The following is a 24,490-nucleotide window of genomic DNA, read 5'->3' as shown; positions in this document are numbered from 1 at the left end:
GCAACATGCATTATGAAAATACATTTTCTGATGTTATCTGGCTACCTTCTTTGCTTTTTTCAAAGCAAAGCATCTCTATATTATCCTTGAGTCATCTTTTAGTACTTTTAATTATTGTCTCATAAAATTGTTTATTGAAAGATATATGAGAGTATAAATGTGCATGAATCATATTGGACAGCTCAGTGAATGACCACAAAAGGAACACACCAGGGCTACCATTTAGGTTATTAAATAGAGTTTTAGCAGCATCCTAGAAGCTTCCTTCAAGGCTCTCCCAGTCTCCTCCTCCACCTTTCAGAATATATTCTTTTGTGTCTGCTTTCCTTTGCTTCATATTACCTTTTAAGATTCAACCATGTTCTTTCATGTAGCAATAGTTTGTTCATTTCCATTGCTACATGGCAGAGGCTAGCAAATAAAGTTTTCTTGAGATACAGCCATTCACATTGGCTCATTTGTTTACATATCTATGGTTGTTTTCATCATACCACAGCAGAGTTGCAACAGAGACTATATGGTACTCAAAGTCTAAAATATTTACTATTGGGCCTTTAACAGAAAGAGTTTGCTGAACCTGCTATATACAAGTACATCTTACGAATGCATCATTTTTTAAATCCATTCTGCTGTTGATGGGCGTTTGTGTTGTTTCCAGTTTGGAGCTATTATGAATGATGAAGTTATGGGAATTCTTGTACATGAATTTTGGCAGGTATTTGTATAACTGCTGTTTGGTATATAACTAGTGGATTTACCGGGTATGCTTATGTTCCACTTCAGCGGTTACTGCTAAACAGTTATCCAAAGTGGCTGTACCAATTTTCACTCCCACAAACAGTACGCTAACATTTTCATTGCTCTATGTCCTCCGAACAATTGATACTGTTAAAATGTTTCCTTTCAGTCATCCTCATGGGTTTGGTGATAATATCACATTGTAATTTTAATTTTCATTTTTTGTTGTTAATTAATAAGATCATGTGTGTATTTACTGGCCATTTGGATGTCTTCTTTTGTGAAATGCTTATTCAGATAAGTCTCTTGCCGGTGTATATATTGAGTTATCTTTTTCTTAGTTACTTGTAGACGTTTTAAAGTTCTAAGTACTAATCTGTTTAAAATGGTGCATATCTTACAATATCTTCTCTTATCTCATGGCTAAATTTTTCCATTTGCATTTGTTTTTTAATTAACACAAACCCCTAATTTCAATGTAGTTGAACTCATCATCTTTACATTTATGGTCAGTTAATTTTGAGGTCCTGTTCAGGAAATGTTTGCTTGTCTTAAGCCATAAAGATATTCTCCTATATTTACTTCTGGAAGCTTTACTATTTTACCTTTTATGCTTATATATACCATCCATCTGGAGTTATACAGCATGAAGTTGGGGTCAAGATATTTTTATATACCTGTATAGTTGATACTGCACCGTTAAGAGAAAAATCGTTCTTACCTTACTGTTCGGCAGTGTCACCTAGACGTAAATTGTGTGTGGTCAATGTCTTGATTCTATTCTGTCTATCATTGTGTCACTACGACATGACCTTAATGTGTAATGCATCTTGATATCCCATGGTATAAGTCCTTCAACTCTAGTTCCTCTTTAAATTATCTTGGCTATTCTTGAACACTTAAGTTTTAATATAAAGTTTATAATCAGCTTGTCACATTTCATACACACACCCAAAATACCCAGTGAGATATTGTTTGGGAATACATTGAATCTATACAGATCAATTTGGGGAGAACTGACATCATCATAATATTTAATCTTTCAATCAATGAGCATAATATATCCCTGTATGGAACTCTTTTAAAATTTTCTGTATGTTTCCCTGTTTTATGTGTATTCATTTTGTGCAACATTTCTTAGTTTTATTTTAAGGTATTTGATGATTTTTGGTGCTATTGTATTGGTATTTTTTAAACTTTTATTTTTTATTTCAATAGGCTTTGGGGGAAGAGGTGGTATTTGGTTACATGGTTAAGTCCTTTAGTGGTGATTTCTGAGATTTTGGCGCACCTGTCACCTGAGCAGTGTACACTGTACCCAATAGGTAGTCTTTTTTTTTTAATCGTAGAGAGAAATTTATTTTCTTTCTCTTTCCATCATTTTTTAAAATATGTGAGTGCATATATAACCTTTCATTTATTTTAAGTAAAATTTTTGCACCTATTGACCCATCCTCTAAGTTTCTTCCCCTCACCTCCCACTCCCAGACAGGCCCTGGTGTGTGTTGTTCCCCTCCCTGTGTCCATGTGTTCTCATTGTTCAACTCCCACTTATGAGTGAGAACATGTGGTGTTTGGTTTTCTGTTCCCATGTTAGTTTGCTGAGGATGATGGCTTCCATCTTCGTCCATGTCCCTGCAAAGGACATGATCTCATTTCTTTTTATGGCTGGATAGTATTCCATGGTATATATGTGCCACATTTTCTTTATCCAGTCTATCATTGATGAGCATTTTTGTTGGTTCCATGACTTTACAATGCTGCAATAGACATAGGTGTGCATGTGTCTTTATATGAGAATGATTTGTATTCCTTTGGGTATATACCCAGTAATGGGATTGCTGGGTCAAGTGGTATTTCTGGTTCTAGATCTTTGAGGAATCACCATACTGTCTTCCACAATGGTTGAACTAATCTACATTCCCACCAACAGTGTAAAAGCATTCCTATTTCTCCACAGCCTCGCCAGCATCTATTGTTTCTTGAGTTTTTAATAATCACCATTCTTACTGGTGTGAGATGGTATCTCATTGTGGTTTTGATTTGCATTTCTCTAATCAGTGATGTTGCACTTTTTTTCATAAGTTTGTTGGCCATGTAAAAGTCTTCTTTTGAGAAGTGTCTGTTCATATCCTTTGCCCACTTTTGTTACTTTGCCCACTTCAGACTCTGATATTCTTTCTTCCACTTGGTTGATTCAGCTATTGATACTTGTTTTTTTCTTGTAAATTTATTTAAGTTTCTTGTCGATTCTGGATATTAGACCTTTCTCAGATGGGTAGACTGCAAAAATTTTCTCCCATTCTGTAGGTTGCCTGTTCACCCTAATGATAGTTTCTTTTGCTGTGCAGAAGCTCTTTAATTAGATCCCATTTGTCAATTTTGGCTTTTGTTGTGATTGCTTTTGGCATTTTTGTCATGAAGTCTTTGCCCATGCATATGCCCTGAATGGTATTGCCTAGGTTTTCTTCTAGGGTTTTTGTGGTTTGGGGTTTACATTTAAGTCTTTAAGCCATGTTGAGTTAATTTTTGTATAAGGTGTAAGGAAAGGGTCCAGTTTCAGTTTTCTGCATATGGCTAGCCAGTTTTCCCAGCACCATTTATTAAATAGGAAATCCTTTCCCCATTGCTTGTTTTCGTCAGGTTTGTCGAAGGTCAGATGGTTGTAGATGTGTAGTGTTATTTCTGAGGTCTCTTTTCTGTTCCATTGGTCTATATGTCTGTTTTTGTACCAGTACCATGTTGTTGTGGTTACTGTAGCCTTGTAGTATAAAGTCAGGTAACATGATGCCTCCAGCTTTGTTCTTCCTGCTTAGGATTGTCTTGGCCATATGGGATCTTTTTTGATCATATATGAAATGAAACTAGTTTTTTTTTCTAATTTTATGAAGAATGTCAATAGTAGTATGATGGGAATAACATTGAATCTATAAATTACTTTGGGCAGTATGGCCATTTTCACGATATTGATTCTTCTTATCCATGAGGATGGAATGTTTTTCCTTTTTTTTTTTTTTTGCATCCTCTCTTATTTCCTTGACCCGTGGTTTGTAATTCTCCTTGAAGAGGTCCTTTACATCCCTTGTTAGCTGTATTCCAAGGTATTTTATTCTCTTTGTAGTGATTGTGAATGGGGATTTATTCATAATTTGGCTCTCTGCTTGTCTATTGTTGGTGTAAAGAAATGCTTGTAATATTTGCACATTGATTTTGTATCCTGACACTTTGCTAAAGTTGCTTATCAGCTTAAGGAGTTTTTGGGCTGAGGTGATGTTGCTTTCTAAATATAAAACCGTGTCATCTGCAAACAGAGACACTTTGACTTCCTCTCTTCCTATTTGAATATGCTTTATTTGTTTCTCTTGCCTGAAAGAATATATTTTGGTGTTTTTTTCCCCCCATATTTAGTGCTTCTTTCGGGCAGGCCTGGTGGTAATGAAATCCCTCAGCATTTGCTTGTGTGGAAATGATTTTATTTCTTCTTCACTTATGAAGCTTATTTTGGCTGGATATGAAATTCTGGGTTGGAAATTCTTTTCTTTAAGAATGTTGAATTTGGCCCCCAATCTGTTCTGGTTTGCAGAGTTTCTGCTGAGTGGTCCACTCTTCGTCTGATTGGCTTCCCTTTGTAGGTGACCTGGCCTTTCTCTCTGGCTGCCCTTAACATTTTTTCCCTTATTTTGACCTTGGAGAATCTGATGATTATGTATCTTGGGGTTTGTCTTCTTGTGGAGTATCTTAATGGTGTTCTCTCTCTTTTCCTGGATTTGCATGTTGGCCTGTATTGCTAGGTTGGGGAAGTTCCCCTGGATAATATCATGAAGTGCTTTTTCCAGCTTGTTTCCTTTCGTCCCATCTCCTTCAGGTATTCCAGTCTATCACTGGTTCCATCTTTTCACAAAGTCCCCAGTTTCCTGGAGGCTTTGTTTGTTCCTTTTCATTCTTTTTTCTCTAATCTTGCCTGGATGCCTTATTTCAATAAAGTGGTCTTCAAACTCTGATATTCTTTCTTCCACTTGGTTGATTCAGTTATTGATATTTGTGTATGCCTCATGAAGTTCTTGTGCTGTGTTTTTCAGCTCCATTAGGTCATTTCTGTTCCTCTCTAAACTGGTTATTCTAGTTAGCAGCTCCTCTAACCTTTTATCAAGGTTTTTAGCTTCTTTGCATTGGGTTAGAACATAATCCTTTAATCAGTGTAGTTTTTTATTACCCGTCTTCTGAAGCCTACTTCTGTCAATTCATCCATCTCATCCTCCGTCCAGTGCTGTGCCCTTGCTGGAGAGACATTGCAAACATTTGGAGAAGAGGCACTCTGGATTTTTGGGTTTTCAGCATTTTGTCATTGATTCTTTCTCATCTTTGTGAGTTTGCCTAGTTTTGTGAGTTTGAGGCTGCTGACTCTTGGATGAAGTTTTTGTGAGGACTTTTTTGTTGTTGGTGCTGTTGTTGTTGCTTTTTGTTTGTTTTTCTTTCAATGGTCAGGTCCCTTTTCTGTAGGGCTGCTGCCATTTGCTGGGGGTCCACTTCATGCCCTATTCATCTGGTTTACTCCTGCGTCTGGAGATGTCACTCAAGGAGGCTGGAGAACAGCAAAGATGGGTGCCTGCTCCATCTTCTGGCAGGGGCACTGACCTGATGCCAGTTGGATCGCTCCTGTGTAGGGTTTCTGACAACCCCTGTTGTCACCCAGTTGGGTGGCATGGGGAACAGGACCCATTTAATGAAGCACTTTGACTGACCCTTGGTGCAGGGGTGTGCTTTGCTAGGGGGAAACCCACTCATCTGGGCTCCTGGAACTATCAGGAGGAAAGGCTATGTCTGCTGATTCACAGAGACTGCAGCCATTCCTCCCACTAGAGGCTCAGGCCCAGGGAGATCTGGGTTCTGTCCCTGAGCCTCTGGTTAGAGTTGTTGGATTTCCTGCAGGAAGCCCCACCCAGTGAGGAAGGATGAGTCAGGGTCAGTCCTGAAGAGGTCCTCTGGCTGCAGTCTTCCACAGCTGGTATGTTGGGCTGTTGGGGACACCTTTTGGGACCAAGGTGTCCAGCCCTACTGGTTCCAGCAGGGGAAAAGCACAGCCTGGAGCTATAGAGATGGATGCCACACTTCCCCTGCCCAAGGAGCTTAACATGTTAGGCAGTTGTGAGTCCCAGTGCTGGCTGCTGCCCCTTTCCCAAGAAGCTCAAATGGCTTAGACATCAGGCAGCTGCAGCTGTGGTGCTGGTCACCCCTTCTCCCCAGGGGCTCGGCAGGCTTAAGCAGAGTCCAGCTGAGAGGCTATTAAGAATCTGCATGGCTCTGGGGTTAAGGCCCTAGGCCCCGGTGGTGTGGGTTCATGAGTGGGATCTTTCAATCTGTGGGTTTCATAGTTCTGTGGAAAAATCACCGTTCCCCCTGCTGGGTAGGATGCTCACTCATCACCTCCCTTGGCCTGGGGGTAGGGGCTCCTCTGCTCGTCTGGCTCCCAGATGGGCCACCACACCACACTGCTTGCTCTTCCTTTCTCTCCATGGATCACACCAGCTGCCTGGTCAGTTCTGATGAGAGAACCTGGTTACCTTGGTTGCCAGTGAAAGATTAATGCACTTATTATGGTTCTTTTCAATGGAAGCCTCCGACTGCCACCGTTTCTAGTTGGACATCTTGGCCCCTCAATATGTTGTCTTTTATCCCTCATCCCTTCCCACCTTTTCCCCTGAGTCCCCAAAGTCCACTGTATCTTTTTTTTTTTTTTTTTTTTTTTATGAAGTCTCACACTGTTGCCCAAACTGGAGTGCAGTGGAGCGATCTTGGCTCCTGCAACCTCCACCTCCCAGATTCTAGCGATTCTACTGCCTCAGCCTCCCAAGTAGCTGGAATTACAGGCATGCACCACCATGCCTGGCTAATTTTTTAGTATTTTTAGTAGAGACGGGGTTTCACCATGTTGGCCAGGCTGGTCTTGAACTCCTGACCTTGTGATCTGCCCACCACGGCCTCCCAAAGTGCTGGGATTAAAGGCATGAGCCACTGCACCTGGCCCATTGTATCATTCTTATGCCTTTGCATCCTCATAGCCTAGCTCCCACTTATAAGTGAGAACACAGGAAGTTTGGTTTTCCATTCTTGAGTTACTTCACTTAGAAAAAGGATCTCCAGTTATCCAGGTTGCTGCAAATGCCATTATTTCATTCCTTTTTAATGGCTGAGTAATATTTCACAGTATATATACACCCCATTTTCTTTATCCATTTGTTGATTGACGGACATTTAGGCCAGTTTTATATTTTTGCAATTGCAAATTGTACTGCCATAAACATGCGTGTGCAAGTGTCTTTTTTTTTTTTTTTATAATGACTTCTTTTCCTCTGGGTAGTTACCCAATAGTGGGATTGCTGGATCAAATGGTAGATCTACTTTTAGTTGTTTAAGGACTCTCCACACCATTTTCCATAATGGCTGTACTAGTTTAGATTCCCACCAGCAGTGTAAAAGTGTTCCCTTTTCACCACATCCACACCAACATCTATGATTTTTTGATTTTTAAATTATGGCCATTCTTGCAGGAGTAAGGTGGTATCATATTGTGGTTCTGATTTGCATTTTCCTGATAATTAGTGGTGTGGAGCATATTTTCATAGGTTTGTTGGCCATTTGTATATTTTCTTTTGAGAATTATCTATTCATGTCCTTAGCCCACTTTTTGATAGGATTGTTTCTTTCTTGCTGATTTGAGTTCCTTGTAGATTATGTTGGATGCATAGTTTGTGAAGATTTTCTCCCACTCTGTGGTTGTTGCTTTACTCTGCTGATTATTTCTTTTGCTGTGCAGAAGCTTTTTAGTTAAGTCCCATCTGTTTATCTTAATTTTGTTGCATTTGCTTTTGGGTTCTTGGTCATGAAGTCTTTGCCTAAGCCAATGCCTAGAAAGGTTTTTCTGATGCTATTTTTCTGGAATTTTTATGGTTTCAGGTCTTAGAGTTAAGTCTCTGATCCATCTTGAGTTAATTTTTGTATAAGGTGAGAGATGAGAATCCACTTTTCATTCTTCTACATGTGGCTTGCCAATTATCCCAGCACAATTTGTTGAATAGGGTGTCATATCCCCACTTTATATTTTTGTTTGCTTTGTCGAACATCAGTTGGCTGTATTTTACTTTATTTCTGGGTTCTCTATTCTGCTTCATTGGTCTAAAAATTAAGCTTCTAATTATTTATTGTTTATGTATAGAAATCCAATTGATCTTTGTATACTGATGTTGTATCTAGAAAACTTGCTAAACAGATTAATTTGAGAACTTTTTTCTGAATTTTTGGAATGTTTAAAATATGCAATTATTTATTTGCTAATTTTGAATGTTTCATTTCCTTTTATCCAAACTTAGCCATTTTATTTTTTGTTTTGCCTTATTTTAGTTTTGGAAAATTCTTGGCCATCATCTCTTACAGGAGTTCTTCTGCCTCATTCTTTCTCCTCTCTCTTTTTGAAATCTATATGTTAGACCATTTAGCCATGTCTGATATTATCTTACACTCTTTTTGTATTTTTCATTTTTATTTCTTCAAACTTTAATCTTTAGGTTGAATATTTTATTCTGACATATCCAATTTTCTTTTAAGCTTTTTCTAATATGCTGCTGATTTCATCCATTGAGTTCTGCATTCCATTTCATTATTTAATCTTTTGAATACATTAATCATATTTATTTTAAAGGTATATCTAATAACTGCAACAATGATATATTATTCATTCTATATCTACTATTTGTTTTCTCTTGTAATTAAAAAAGTCTATACATCTGGTTGTTTTTGATTAACTGTCAGCTACTGTGTATGAAATTGTGTGTAGAAAATTTGAGTCTCTGGGTAATTTATCTTTTCTCAGAGGGGATTTATTTTTGCTTCCACCAGGCAGTTAAGCTAAAGGTATATCTTCTTCATCCAACCAGAGATTTAGATGTTCAAGGCTTTGTTCATTGTGAGGGCTGGTCTATTTCCTGTTTACTCTTTCTCCTAGGATGAATCCATCACAGATCCCTTTTGAAAGCCTGGGAGTATTTGGGACCAAGAGGAGGACAACATTTTCAAACTGGGCTCACCCAAAGTCAATCATTGTTTGGTGATCTGGCAGTGATGGCTACCATGAGCATTTGTCTTGGGCCTCAGAGCACTTGCTTTGAAGTGGGTGAAGGGTTCCCACAGCAAGCAGGGAATGTGGAGTGCATTCCAGAGATAGGCACTGAAATTGGGATCTTTCTTGCTGCAGAACTAGAGCAGAAGGAGAATTGTTGAAGCCGCAGCGAGTTTTACAGCCAAGGATGCCTTTGAGACCTGGGATGACAGCTCTGTATAGGTCATTGCTAGGTGCCTCAACCTGTTCCCTTGGTCAGTCAGGAGAATGAGCCCCACTAGTTCCAAGGAGTGGGAGAGAGAATCCCATTCCTGCTCACCTGAATTAGAAGCATGGGCCATCCTTCCCTTCCTATGCAAAGAATTTTGTGTGGCAGTGCTCCCTCCACTCCCTACTAAGGCGTATTTTCAGGCATTTGATGCACCTACTCACCTGCATTAGGAGCCTGCACCACCCCTTGCTTTCTGTGCAGAGATCTTGGTGCTGTGGCACTTTCTTTGCTCCATGCCCAGGGCACATTTCCAGGCATTTGGCTTACCCACTCCCCTGGATTAGGAGCCTGAGCTGCCCCTGCCATTCCGTGGGCAGTAGTGATTTCTCTGCTCCTTTCTGGGGCACATTTCTAGGCATTTTTATGCACTCGCTTGCCTGGATTAGGAACCTAAACCACCCTTCCCTTTCTGAGTAGAGAACTTGGTGCAGCCAACTTGATAGTCTCTTCGCTCTATACCTGGACATATCTCCCGGCATTTGGAGTACCCACTATTCTAGATTAGGAGCTTAGGCTGCCTCTCCCTTCCCATGGAGAGAACTTAGGGTAGTGGAGGTTTCTCTACTCCACACACAGGCACATCACTGGGTGCTTTACCCCCTGGATTCCCATAAAAGCTGGTACTTATGACTACCACTGGGGGGCCACGGATGGGCCTGCCTGGCCTGGCTTCACCCAGCTTGGTCCCCAACTCTGAGACTCAAATAAGAGATTCAAATAAGCACAATCAGAAATGATAACAATGACAAACAACTGATTCCGCAGGAATACAAAAGATCATCAGAGACTACTATAAGCATCTCTATGCACACAAACTATGAAATCTAGAAGAAATGTGTAAATTATTGGAAACATACAATCTCCCAAGACTGAACCAAGAATAAATAGAAGTCCTGAACAGATCAATAAGTAGTAAAATTGAATCAGTAATTAATAAAAAAAAAAAGGTCCAAGACCAGACTGATCCACAGTTGAATTCTACTAGACATACAAGCAATAACTGATACCAATTCTATTAAAATTGCTCCAATTCCTATGAAGCCATCATTACCCTGCTATCAAAGCATGGCAAAGGCACAAAACAAATGGAGGAGGGAACCCTCCCTAACTCATTCTATGAAGCCATCACTGCAATATCAAAGAATGGCAAGGGTACAAAACAGAAAGAAAATGACAGACCACTATCCCTGATGAAAATAGAAATTTTTTTAAAATTAAATTTAAATTTAATTTGATTTTAAGTTCTGGGATACATGTGCAGGATGTGCAGGTTTGTTACATTAGGTAAATGTGTGCTATGGTGGTTTGCTGCACCTATCAACCCATCACCTAAGTGTTAAGCCTCACATGCATTAGCTATTTATCCTCTTGTTCTCCCTCCTCCCTGCCTCTCTGCCAGGCCCCAGTTTGTGTTGTTCCCTTCCCTTTTTCCATGTGTTCTCATTGTTCAGCTCCCACTTATAAGTGAGAATATGTGATGTTTTGTTTTCTGTTTCTGCATTTGTTTGCTGAGGATAATGGCTTCCAGCTTCATCCATGTCTGTGCAAAGGACATGATCTCATTCCTTTTTATGGATGCATAGTATTCCATGGCATATATGTACCACATTTTCTTTATCTAATCTAGTATTGATGGATGTTTAGGCTTATTCTATGTCTTTGCTATTGTGTATAGTGCTGCAATGATCATACCTGTGCATGTATCTTTGTAATAGAATGATTTATGCTCGTTTGGGTATATACCCAGTAATGAGATTGTTGGGTCAAACGGTATTTCTGGTTTTAGGTCTTTGAGGAAATATCACAATGTCTTACACAATGTTTGAACTAATTCACATTCCCACCAACAGTGTAAAAGCATTTCTATTTCTCCATAGCCTCACTGGCATCTTTTGTTGAAGAAAACATTTTCAACAAAATACTAGCAAATCAAATCCAACAGAACATGAAAAAGATAATATACCACAATCAAGTGGGTTTCATTCCAAGGATGTAGGATGATTCAACATAAAAAAAATCAATAAATGTGATTCACCACATAAACAAAACCAAAAACAATAATCATCGCAATAAATGTAGAAAAAGCATTTGATAAAATCCAGCTTCCCTTCATGAGAAAAACCCTTAACTAGGCACATAAGGAACATACCTCAAAATAATAAAAGCCATATGTGACAAACCCACAACCAATATTTTACTGAATGGGGAAAAGATGAAACCACTCCACCTAAGAACTGGAACAAGACAAGGATGTCCACTCTCACCACTTCTATTCAATGCAGTACTGGAAGACCTAACTAGAGCAATCAGACAAGAGAAATAAATAAAGGGCATCAAACTGGAAAAGATTATGTCAAATCATCCCTCTTCACTGATGATATGATGTTACATGCAGAAAACCCTAAAGACTCCTCCAGAAGACTCCTAATGACTTCAGTAAAGTTTCAGGATACCAAATCAACATACTGAAATCAGTAGCATTTTCATACACCAACAAGGATAAAGCCAAGAACCAAATCAAGAACTAAATCCCATCTACAATAGCTACAAAAAAATAAAATACTTAGAAATACATTTAACCAAGGAGGTGAAAGATCTCTATAAGAAGAACTATAAAACACTGATGAAAGAAATTTTAGATGACACAAATTTTAAAAATCCCTGTTTCTTACCATATACAAAAATTAACTCAAGAGATGTTAAAGATTTAAATAAGACCCAAAACCATAAAATTATAAAAGAAAAATTAGGGAAAACTCTTCTGGACATTGGCTTGGGTAAAGAAATTTAGTAAGTCTTCAAAAGAAAACACAACAAAAACAAAAGCAGACAAATGGAACTTAATTAAACTAAAGTTTCTGCACAGTGAAAGAAATAATCAGCTGAGTAAACAGACAATCCATAGGATGAGAGAAAGTATTTGCATAGTATGCATTTGACAAAGAATTAATATTCAGAATCTACAAAAAAATTCAAACAACTCAATAAGAAAGAAAATAGTCCAGGCATGGTGGTTCATGCCTGTAATCCTAGCACATTGGGAGGCCAAGGCAGGCAGATTGCTTGAGCCCAAGAGTTTGAGACCAGCCTAGGCAACATGGCAAAGCCACATTTTTACAAAACAATACAAAAATCAGTCTAGCATGGTGGTACAGGCCTATAGTCCTAGCTACTTAGGGGGCTGAGGTGAGAAGACCACTTGAACCTGGGAGGTCGAGGCTGTGTGAGCTGTGTTCACACTGCCCTCCAGCCTGGGCTACAGAGGAGACCATGTCTCAAATAAAAAAAAAAAAGAAAAAAGAAAAAACTCATTAAAAAGTGGGTAAAGAACATGAACAGATGAACAGACATTTTTTCAAAAGAAGACATGTAAGCGGCCAAGGAAAATGAAGAAATGGGGGGTGGAGCAAGGTGATGGAATAGAAAGCTCCACTGATCATTACCCAGATCAATGACTCCTCTCTGACTAGGGTTGGTTTAAATGTTCCCTCTGTGGGTTGGCATTGGCTGAGTTTTATCTGGTTTTACTCCCCGCTCTAACAGGACAGCACTGAGTTTAGTGCTTCACAACTGCTGTGTTCTCCCTCACAACTGCTGTGTTCTCCCTCACTCGGCACCCAGAGACCCTCTTAGCACCATACTGCTGCCACTGGGGCTGGGGGTGGGGGTAGTGGAGTCAGTGATTCAGGACTGTTTTTTCTATGTCTGCAGTACCTCTTTCAGAGATATGAAGTTAAAACCAGGTACTATGCATGCTCACCTGACTTTGGGTTCTTATGAAGGTGTTTCTTCTGTGTAGGTGGTTTTTTACTTGGCAGCAGGTTGGGTAATGATCATCCAAGGCAGTGCTGGCATCAGTCCTCCCCTAACCCCAGACTACACAGCTCATGGCTCCAAAAAAGACACTTTCCTTTCCCTTGAGGAGAGGAGAGGGAAAAGTGGGGAGGGCTTTGTCTTGCATGTTGGATACCAGCTCAGCCACAGTAGGATAGGTCACCAGTCAGAATCATGAGGCCCTGTTCCAGGTCCTAGTTCCCAGACGACATTTCTAAACATACCCTGGGCCAAAAGGGAACCCACTGCCTTGAAGGAAAAGGTCTGTCCTGGCAGCATTCATTACCTGATAACTGAAGAGCCCTTGGTCCTTGAATAACCAGCAGCAATACCCAGGTACTACATTGTGGGCCTTGGGTGAACCTCTGAGACTTGCTGGCTTCAGTTGAGACTCAGTACATTACCAGCTGTGGTGGCTATGGGACAAAACTCCTTCTGCTTGAGGAAAGCAGAGGAAAAAGTAAAGGGGACTTTCTCTTGCACCTTAGATCCCAGCACAGTTACAGGGGGCAGAGCATCAAGTGGGCTCTTGGGATCCTGGATTCCAGGACTTGACTTTTGGATGGATATTTTTAGACCTGCCTTGGGCCAAGGGGAAGCCACTGTCCTGAAGGGTGAATCGTGGGCCAGGCAGCATTCACCACAAGATGACTTCAGAGTTCTTGGGCCTTAAGGGAACATCAGTGGTAGTCTGGCAGTACTCCTCATGACGTGGGATGGTCGTGGCTACAAGGTGAGGCTCCTCTGCCTTTGGAGAGGGGAGAGGAGAGTGGGAAGGATTGCATCTCACAGTTTGAGGGTCAGCTAAGCTGCAATACAATGGAACACCAAGTAGACTTCCAAGGTTTTTGACCCTAGTCCCTGGCTCCTGGACAACCCCTCCACTCATGTCCTGGGGGACCTCACTGTTCTGAAGGGAGGAACACAGGCCTGGCTGGCTTTGCCACATGCCAATTGTAGAGCTCCACAGGCCGTGAGAGAACATAGGCCAGAGAGTGGTCACAGTAGGCCTTGGGTGAGACTCAGTGCTGTACTGGCTTCAGGTCGACCCAGTGCAGTCAGAGTGGTGGTGGCCACAGGGATGCTCATGTAACTCTATCCCCTGCTTTAGGTGGTTCACAACAGAGAGACAGAGAGAATATGTTTGTTTGGCAAAAAGTAAGGGAAGAAACAAGAGTCCCTTCTTGGTAATCCAGAGAATTTTCACAGATCTTGTCCAAGACGATCAAGGCAGTATCTCTATGAGTCTGCAAGAACCACAGTGTTACTTGGCTTGGGGATACAAAGTAGATACAACTTAGGTTACAACACCTAAGTCCTTTCAAATCTCTGCAAAGCCTTCCCAAGAAGGACAGCTATAAATAAGCCCAGACAGTGAAGACTACAATAAATACCTAAGTCTTCAATGCCCAGACAGTGAAGAACATCTGCTATCATCAACACCATTCAGGAAAACATGACCTCACTGAATGACCTAAATAAGGCACCATGGACCAATCATGGAGAAATAGAGACATGTGACCTTTCACACAGAGAATTTGAAATAGCTGTGTTGAGTAAACTCAAAGAAATTCAATATAACACCAAGAAGGGATTCAGAATTCTGTCAGATAAATTTAACAAAGAGATTAAAATGATGAAAAAGAATCAAGCAGAAATTCTGGAGCTGAAAAATGCAATAAGCATACTGTAGAATGCATCAGAGTACTTTAATAGCAGAATTCATCAAGCAAAAGAATTAGTGAGATTGAAGGCAGCCTATTTGAAAATAGAGCTGACAAAAAGAATAAAAAAAAATGAAGCATGCCTACAAGATCTAGAATAGCCTCAAGAGGGCAAATCTAAGAGTCACTGGCCTTAAAGAGGATGCAGAGAAAGAGACAGGGGTTGAAAGTTTATTCAGAGGGCTAATAACAGAAATCTTCCCAAATCTACGGAAAGATATCTATATCCAAGTACAAAAAGGTTGTGGAATACCAAGTAGATTTAACCCAAAGAAGACTACCTAAGGCATTTAACAATCAAACTCCCAAAGGTCAAGGATAAAGAAAGAAAGGATCCTAAAAGCAGCTAGAGAAAAGAAACACATAATATACAATGGAACTCCAATACATCTGGCAGCAGACTTTTAGTGGAACCCTTACAGGCCATGAGAGAGTGACATGACATATTCAAAGTGCTGAAGGAAAACTATGTTACACTAGAATAGTATATCTGATGAAAATATCCTTCAAACATGAAGGAGAAATAAAGGCTTTTCCAGATAAACAAAAGCTGAGGGATTTCATCAATACCAGACCTGTCTTACAAGAAATGCTAAAGGGAGTAACTCAATCAGAAAGAAAAGGATATTAATGAGCAATAAAATAGTCACCTGAAGGCACAAAACTCACTGGTAATAGTAAGTACACAGAAAAAACACAGAATATTATAACACTGTGACTGTGGTATATAAACTATTCTTATCCTAAGCAGAAAGACTAAATGATGAACCAATCAATAATAATAACTACAACTTTTCAAGACATAGTACAATAAGATATAAATAGAAGCAACAAAAAGTTAAAAAGCAGAGGGATGAAATTAAGGCATCTTGTTTGTTTATGCAAATAGTGTTGTTAACAGGTTAACATAATGGTTTATAAGACTGTATTTGCAAGTCCCGTGGTAGCCACAAACCAAAAAATGTACAATAGATACACAAAATATAAAAACAAACTAAATTATACTGCCAGAGAAAATCACCTTGACTAGAGGAAGACAGGAAGGAAAGAAAGAAGAAAGAAACCATAAAACAACTAGAATACAAATAATAAAATGACAGGAGTAAGTTCTAATAAATAATAACATTGAATGTAAATGGATTAAATTCCCCAATCAAAAGACATAGACTTGCTGAATGGATGAAAAAGTAAGGTTAATTGATCTGTTCAGTCTACAGAAAACACATTTCACCTATAAAGACACACATAGAGTGAAAATAAACTGGTGGAAAAAGATATTTCATGCCCATGGAAACGAAAAAATCAGAAGAGTCACTATACTTATATCAGAAAAGATAGATTTCAAGACAAAAACTATAAGGAAGGACAAAGAAGGTCACTATATAATGATAAAAGGGTCAATTCAGCAAGAAGATATAACAATTTAAAATATATATGCACCCAACATAGGAGCACTCAGATATATAGAGGAAATACTATTAGAGTGAAAGAGAGAGATGGGCTTCAATATAATAATAACTGGAGACTTCAACACCCCACTTTTAGCATTGCAAAGATCTTCTAGACAGAAAATCAACAAAGAAACATCAGACTTAATCTGCACTATACATGAAATGGATCTAATATATATTTAAGGAACATTTCATTCAAGAGCTGCAGAATACACATTCTTTTCCTCAGCCCATGGATTATTTTTTACAGATAGACTGTATGTTAGGTCACTGAACAGTCTTAAAACATTCAAAATAAAGGGAAACAATATCAAGTATCTTCTTTGACCACAATGGAATAAAACTAAAAATTAATAACAAGAGGAATTTTGGAAACTATACAAATAAGTGGAAATTTAACAATATACTTCCAAATGACCAGTGGGTCAATCAATAAATTAGGAAGAAATTAAAAAATTTCTTGAAACAAAATAATGGAAACACAACATACCAAAACCTATGGGATACAGCAAAAGCGGTACTAAGAGAGAAGTCTGTAGCTGTGAAGTGCCTATATCAAAAAAGAGGAAAAACCAAATGAGCATTCTAATGATGTATCTTAAAGAACTAGAGAAGCAAGAGCAAACCAAACCCAAAATTAGTAAAAGAAAAGAAATAATAAAGATCAGGGCAGGCCGAGCACGGTGGCGCATGCCTGTAATCCCAGCACTTTGGGAGGCCGAGGCGGGCGGATCACGAGGTCAGGAGATCGAGACCATCCTGGCTAACACAATGAAACCCCGTCTCTACTAAAAATAGAAAAAATTAACCGGGCGTGGTGGCGGGCGCCTGTAGTCCCAGCTACTCGGAGGCTGAGGCGGGAGAATGGCGTGAATCCAGGAGGTGGAGCTTGCAGTGAGCCCAGATAGCACCACTGCAGTCCAGCCTGTGTGAAAGAGCGAGACTCCATCTCAAAAAAAAAAAAAAAAAAAAAAAAAAAAAAAAAAAAAAAAAAAAAAAGATCAGAGCAGAAATAAATGGAATTGAACTGAAAACAACAATACAAATGATAAGTGAAACAAAAAGTTGGCTTTTTTTAAAAGTTAAACAAAAGTGACATACCTTTAGCCAGACTAAGAAAAAAAGGGAGAGGATCCAAATAAAATAAAAAATGAAAAAGGAGACATTAAAACTGCTACTGAAGAATTTCAAAGGATCATTAGTGGCTAGTATGAGCAACTATAGGCCAATAAATTGGAAAATATAGAAGAAATGGACAAATTCCTAGATACATGCAACCTACCAAGATTGAACCAGGAAGAAATACAAAATCTGAAAAGACCAATAACAAGTAATGAGATCAAAGCTATAATACAAAGTCTCCCAGTGAAGAAAAGCCCAGAACCTGATGGCTTTACTGTTGAATTCTACCAAACATTTAAAGAAGAATGAATACAAATCTTAATCAAAATGTTCTGAAAATTAGAGGAGGAGGGTATACTTCCAATATCATTCTGTGAGGCTAGTGTTACCCTGATATCAAAACCAGACAAATACACATCAGAAGAAGAAAACTATGGGCCAGTATCTCTGATGAATATTAATGCAAAAATCCTCAACAAAATACTAGCAAATGGAATCAACAATGCATTAGAAAGATCATCCATCATGATTTAGTAGGATTTATCCCTGGGATGCAAAGATGGCTCAACATTGGTAAATCAATCACTGTAATACATTGTATCAACAGAATGAAAGATAAAACCATATGATCATTTCAATTGATGCTGAAGAAGCATTTGATAATTTAATATCCCTTCATGATAAAAACCCTTAAAAAACTGCATAGATGGAATATACATCAACATAATAAAAACCATATATGACAGACCCACAGTTCGTATCATACTGAATGGGGAAAAACTGAAAGCCTTTTCTCTAAAATCTGGAACATGACAAGAATGTCCACTGTCATCGCTGTTATTCAATGTAGTACTAGAAGTCCTAGCTAGAGCAATCAGATAAGAGAAAGATATAAAGGATATCTAAATTGGAACAGAAGAAGTCAAATTATCCTTGTTTGCAGATAATATGATCTTATATTTGGAAAAACCTCAAGACTTCACAAGAAAACTATTAGAACTGATAATCCAGTAAAGTTGTAAAATACAAAAATCAACATACGAAAATCAGTAGCATTTCTATATGCCAAGTGAACAATGTGAAAAAAATTTGAATCCCATTTCTAATAGCCACACATAAAATTAAAGACCTAGTAATTAATTTAACCAAATAAGTGAAAGATTTTTATAATGAATATTATAAAACACTGATGAAAGAAATTGAAGAAGACACCAAGAAATGAAAAAAAATTCCAAGTTCATGGATTGGAAGAATCAATTTTGTTAAAATGTCCATACTACACAAAGCAATCTACAGATTAAATACAATCCCTATCAAAATAAATACCAATGACATTCTTTATATAAATAGAAAATACTATTCTAAAATGTATATGAAACCACAAAAGACCCAGAATAGCCAAAGCTATCCTAAACCAAAAAAACAAAACTGGAGGAATCACATTACCTGATTTCAAATTATACTACAGAGCTATAATAACCAAAACAACATGGTACCGGCATAAAAACAGACACACAGACCAATGGAACAGAATAGAGAACCCAGAAAGAAATCCACACACCCACAGTAAACTCATTTTTGACAAAGATGACAAGAACATAAAAGCAGTCTCTTCAATAAATGGTGCTGGAAAAACTGGATATCCATGTGCAGGAGAATGAATCTAGACCCCCATCTCTTGTCATATACAAGAATCAAGCCAAAATGGATTAAAGGCTTAAATCTAGGACCTCAAAATATACACCTATTACAAGAAAACATTGGGGAAAACCTCCAGGACATTGGTCTGGGCAAAGATTTCTTGACCAATACCTCACAAGCACAAACAACCAAAGCAAAAATGGACAAATGAAATCACCTCAAGTTAAAAAGATCTGGACAGCAAAGGAAGCAATCAACAAAGTGAAGAGACAACCCACACAATGGGAGAAAATGTTTGCAAACTACTTATCTGACAAGAGGTTAATAACCAGAATATATAAGGAGTTCAAACAACTCTATAGGAAAAACATCTAATAATCAGATCAAAAGATGAGCAAAAGATTTGAATAGACATTTCTAAAAAGAAGACATACAAATGGCAAACAGGTATATGAAAAGATGTTCAACATCACTGATCATCAGAGAAATGCAAATCAAAACTACAATGACATCCTGTCACCCCGGATAAGATGGCTTATATCAAAAAGACAGGCAATAACAAATGCTGGTGAGGATGTGGTTAAATGGGGACCCTCTACACTGTTGGTGAGAACATAAATTAGTACAGCTGCTATGGAGAAGAGTTTGGAGGTTCCTCAAAAAACTAAAAATTGAACTACCATATAATCCAGCAATTCCACTGCTGGGTATATACCCAAAAGAAAGGAAATCAGTCTATCAAAGATATATCTGCATTTCTTTGTTGCAGCACTGTTTACAATAGCTAAAACTTGGAAGCAACCTAAATGTTCATCAACAGATTAATGCATAAAGAAAATGTGGTACATACACATACACAATGGAATACCATTCAGCCATAAATAGAGTGAGATCCAGTCATTTGCAACAACATGAGTGAGTCTGAGGATCATTATTTTAAGTGAAATAAGCTAGGAACAGAAAGACAATCTTTGCATGTTCTCACTTATTTGTGGAATCTAAAAATCAAAATAATGGAACTCACAGACATAGAGAGTAGAAGGATGGTTACCAGAAGCTAGAAAGGGTAATGGGGATTTGAGGGGGTTGTGGGGATGGTTAATGTGTACAGAATAATAGTTACAAAGAATGAGTAAGACTTACTATTTGATAGCACAATAGAATGACTGTAGCCAATAATAACAATTGCACATTTTAAAATAGTGTGATTGGATTGTTTGTAATTCAAAGGATAAATGTTTGATGGGATGAATACCCCATTTTCCATGACATGCTTATTTCACATTGCATGCTTATATCAAAATATCCCATGTACCCATAAATATATACACCTACTATGTACCCACAAAAATAAAAATATTAAAAAATGAAAAAATGTTGAATGTCACTAATCATCAGTGAAATACAAATTAAAACTACAATGAGATACCATCTTGCACTAGTCAGAATGGCTATTACTAAAAAGTCCAAAAGAACAAATGTTGATGAAGTTACAGAGAAAAATGAATGCATATACATTGTTGGTGGGAATGTAATTTAGTACATCTTCTATGGAAAACATTATGTTGATTTCTCAAATAATTAAAAATAGAACTACCATTCAATCCACCAATCTTACTACTAGGTATCTAATCGAAGAAAAACAAATAATTGTATCAAAAAGACACTTGCATTCTTATGTTTGTCACAGCACTATTTACAATAGCAAAGTCATGCAATCAACATAAGTTACCATCAGGGATGACTGGATAAAGAAAATGTGACATATATATGTGTGTGTGTGTGTGTGTGTGTGTGTGTATGTATCTTGACCAATACATACACACACACACACACACACACACACACACACACACACACATCATGGAATACTACTCAGCCATAAAAAAGAATTGAATAATGTATATTGCAGCAACATGGATGCAACTGGAGGCCATTAGCCTCAGTGAAATTACTCAGAAATATAAAATCAAAAACCACATTTTCTCACTTATAAATGGGAGCTAAACAATGGGTACACATGGACATACAGAGTGGAATAATAGATGCTGGTGACTCCAAAACGTGGGAGGGTGGAAAGAGAATGAGGGATAAAATAATACCTATTGAGTACAATGTACATTGTTTGGGTAATAGGTACACTGAATGCCCAGCCTTCCACCATTATGCAATATATCCATGTAACACAACTGTACTTGTATCCCTAAATCTATTAAATAAAAAATTTATATCAGCTTTATAACTGACAGAGATATATATTATAACAGAGCCCTTCATTTCAGTGGATAAACATGTAATTTTCAGAATCTTCAAATAGTTATTCTTCAGTCAGCCAAAATATTCAATTGATACATGCCATTCTATGTGATAATTAAAAAAGCTAAACAATAAAATGATTTTAACAACCAGATGGAAAATAATGCTACAAAGGATTGAACAACTGCCATATGCTAGACACTCTCCTGAGTGCTTTGTTTCAATTACTACTCACACCCATTTTGTGAAGCTATTCTTATTATCCTCATTTTACAGATAGTAACACTAAAGTTCATAGAGATTAAGTAACTTGGTAAAGGTCACATGGCTAGAGGGTGTCCATTCTGAGGTTTAAATGCAAGATTATCTATTTTTTACTTGAGTAATCAGAAAATAAAATTTGTTTTTCTGTTGTGTATATTTAAGGTATATAACATAACATTTTGATATACATATACCTAGCGAAATGAATACAACACTCAAGCAAGTTAACGTATCTATCATCTCACATAGTTACCCTTTTTGTGTGTAACACACACAAATGTGTTGTATTTTAAGTGTTCTTTTAGCTAAAAACACCTAAGATGTACTCTCTTAGCAAATGTATGGTATGTAAGTATGTAATACAATATTATTAAGTACAGTTTTCATGCTATACATTAGCTCTCTAGATTTATCTTACATAACTGCAACTTTGCACCCTTTGATGTATATACCCTTTGATTTACATCTTCCCATTTCTTGTGCCCTTGCTCCTGGTAACCACCATTATACTTTACATTTCTATCTATTTGACTTTTTAAAAAAGATTTCACATATAAGTGAGATTATGCAGTATGTTTCTGTCTTTGGTTTATTTCACTTATTTTAACGTCCTCTAGGTTCATCTATGTTGTCTCTTGTTTTCCCCTTTTTTCAGGAGGGACCATCTATGTTGTCTCAAAGGAGGATTTTCTTTGCTTATCAAACCAATATTTTATATTTTTTCTTTGCTTTAGTAAAAATAGTGACCACAAAAATCACATGATCATTTTCATAATACAATCAACTGGCAGTAAAGCTCAAGATACTCTTATTGGCAGGTGGAGCATGGGCTTAGCAATTTAAGAATAATGCTTTTAAAAAAACTTGTTTTGTGGGACGTCCTTTATTAGTGTGCTTTTCTTTCTGTTTGATTTTGTATTCCAATGTATTTCCTTTTAAGATTAGGTAGATAAATGAATGAAAATTTCTCATGCTAACAAGTATTAATTCCCCCTAATGTCAAATTTCTTTTTTTTCTTTAGTGGTTTTACTAAATTACTGAGAGTTAGCTGGCCACCCAGCTAACAACTAGATTTTTAAGCCTTCTTCACAGCTAAGCGGGAGGATATGTCTATGATATGGGCTAATGATAATTTAGCAGAAGTTATATTTGCTCTTCAAAGAAGTGTGTGTGACCTCTTGATATTTTTGTTTCTTTCCAACCAACTGGAATGTAGAAGTGGTTGCAGGAGCTGGAGCAAACATTTTGGAGCTGATATGGGAAACTATGTGATGAGAATGCTAGAGCAGCAAAAGAGCTGGCCCTAGTTTACGTATGCTTGGACTATTGCATGAGAGAGAAATAAATTATTATGTTGTTTAAACCACAGTTATATTTGGATTGTTCTTACAACTGCAGATACTTATTTCATAAATACAATGTTACCACCAAATGAACAAAATAGGTGGAAACATTATGCAAAAAGACCTACAAATTAAATGGCTCTACGGAAACTGTTTTTTTGAAAGTCACAAATGAACTTTCAAACAGAATTTGATGCTTTGGAAATTATGTCAAATTAACCAAAATGCCAAGGCCTAGGTAGGTAAGCATGTGATCTCAACTGTGTGGAAGAATGCATTTGGTGGTGGTGGGGAGTGTGGTGAACAGGAAGTACAGGCTTCATCCACAAGTGAAGCTGATGGTCAGCTACATCCGGGTTGCTACCATGCAGAAATGCAGGTTCAGTATAGCTTCATCTTCCTTTTTTTTTTCTTCATGAATAACTGGAATCCCAGAAACTTCTATGAGATCTCTCACTTTTTAAATATTGACAATTGTGACATACTACTAGCTGTTAACACCATGATCCCCTTCTTGACCATTTAAATAACTATATTTCCAAGCATCTCTTGAACTAATGGTGTCACTATGACAGTTCTGGTCATTATGACTGTAAGATAAGTCACAGGTTGGGGACTTTGAAAGCCTTGTAAAATTGGGCTGACCCAGTTGGAAAGCACATCTTTTGTCTTTTACTTTTTTTGTTTGTTTCTTGCTGTAACACTTTTAAAATGCTGAAGGTAATCAGAAAACACAAGGATAAAAGCCACATGCTAAGGTGAGATGGCAGTGTACAATGATGCAATAAATATCTATGTACACACATCATTTCTCCCATGTGTGACTGTATCTGAGGATATATTCTCTTGAGAGGAGATTACTGAGTCAAAAGAATATGCATTTCACATTTTGATAGATTTTGCCAAATTGTTCTTCTTAGAGAAAGTAATGATTTATGGTCTCACCAGTAATGTAAGTGATTGCTCACTTCCTGCAACCTGGCCAAAACTGGGTAGTACAAAACTTTGCATCTTTGTCAACTCAATGGATAGAAACATTGTTTGCATCACTTTTGGAAAAATTTGTGAAAATTTTAATGCTTAAGAGCCAAATGATTTTTTTTTGGTGTGTACTTCGTCCATTTTTCTATTGTTACTTTTTCTCATGGGTTAGTAAAGATTCTTTAGACAGTGAGAATTCATGATAAATGTAAATATTTCATCCAAATTTGGCTTTTTACTTTGTTTATAGTAGTTTTGCTTTGCAATACCGTTTCATTTTTACATAGTTATCAATCTTTTCTTTATGGCTTCTTTTGACTCTTACTTAGCAAGATCTTCCCCAACTCAGCCAATTTTTCCAAATTATTTAATTTGATTTTATTTATTATTATAGTTTCCTTTTTTAACATTTGAACTTGTGACCATCTGGATTTTGTTTCGTGTAAGAAATGAAATGGGAGTAAAATTATTCTAAAAATTCCAGATGGCTCAGCAGGTGTCCCAATGTCATTTAACAAACATTCCATATTTTCATCACTGTTAGTTAAGGTCAATGATTCACTTTCTAAAATATTGCATGTTTAGGGGGTTATTTCTGGATGGTATTATGTCCTATTTATCTGTCTATTCATTCCATGTGATTTTAATTACTAAAGCTATATTGATGTATGATAGGGCTAGTCCTCTGTCATTATTCTTTTCAGTTAGAGTTTCCATTATTCTTGCATGCTAACTTTTCTACTTTAATTTT

At 37.5% G+C, this 24,490-nt stretch overlaps 1 protein-coding gene across 4 annotated transcripts in view; it reads right to left on the bottom strand.

Moving 5' to 3' along the window:
* Positions 1-24,490, bottom strand: part of MROH9 (maestro heat like repeat family member 9) — a 129,232-nt gene that overhangs the window by 2,663 nt on the left and 102,079 nt on the right. The gene's annotated exons all lie outside the window — the stretch shown is intronic.

Source organism: Homo sapiens, chromosome 1 (genome assembly GCF_000001405.40).
Source record: "Homo sapiens chromosome 1, GRCh38.p14 Primary Assembly".
NCBI classification, from domain to species: Eukaryota; Metazoa; Chordata; class Mammalia; order Primates; family Hominidae; genus Homo; species Homo sapiens.
The sequence above is the reverse complement of the archived record's forward strand: the minus strand, read 5'-3'. Positions and strand labels throughout refer to the sequence as shown.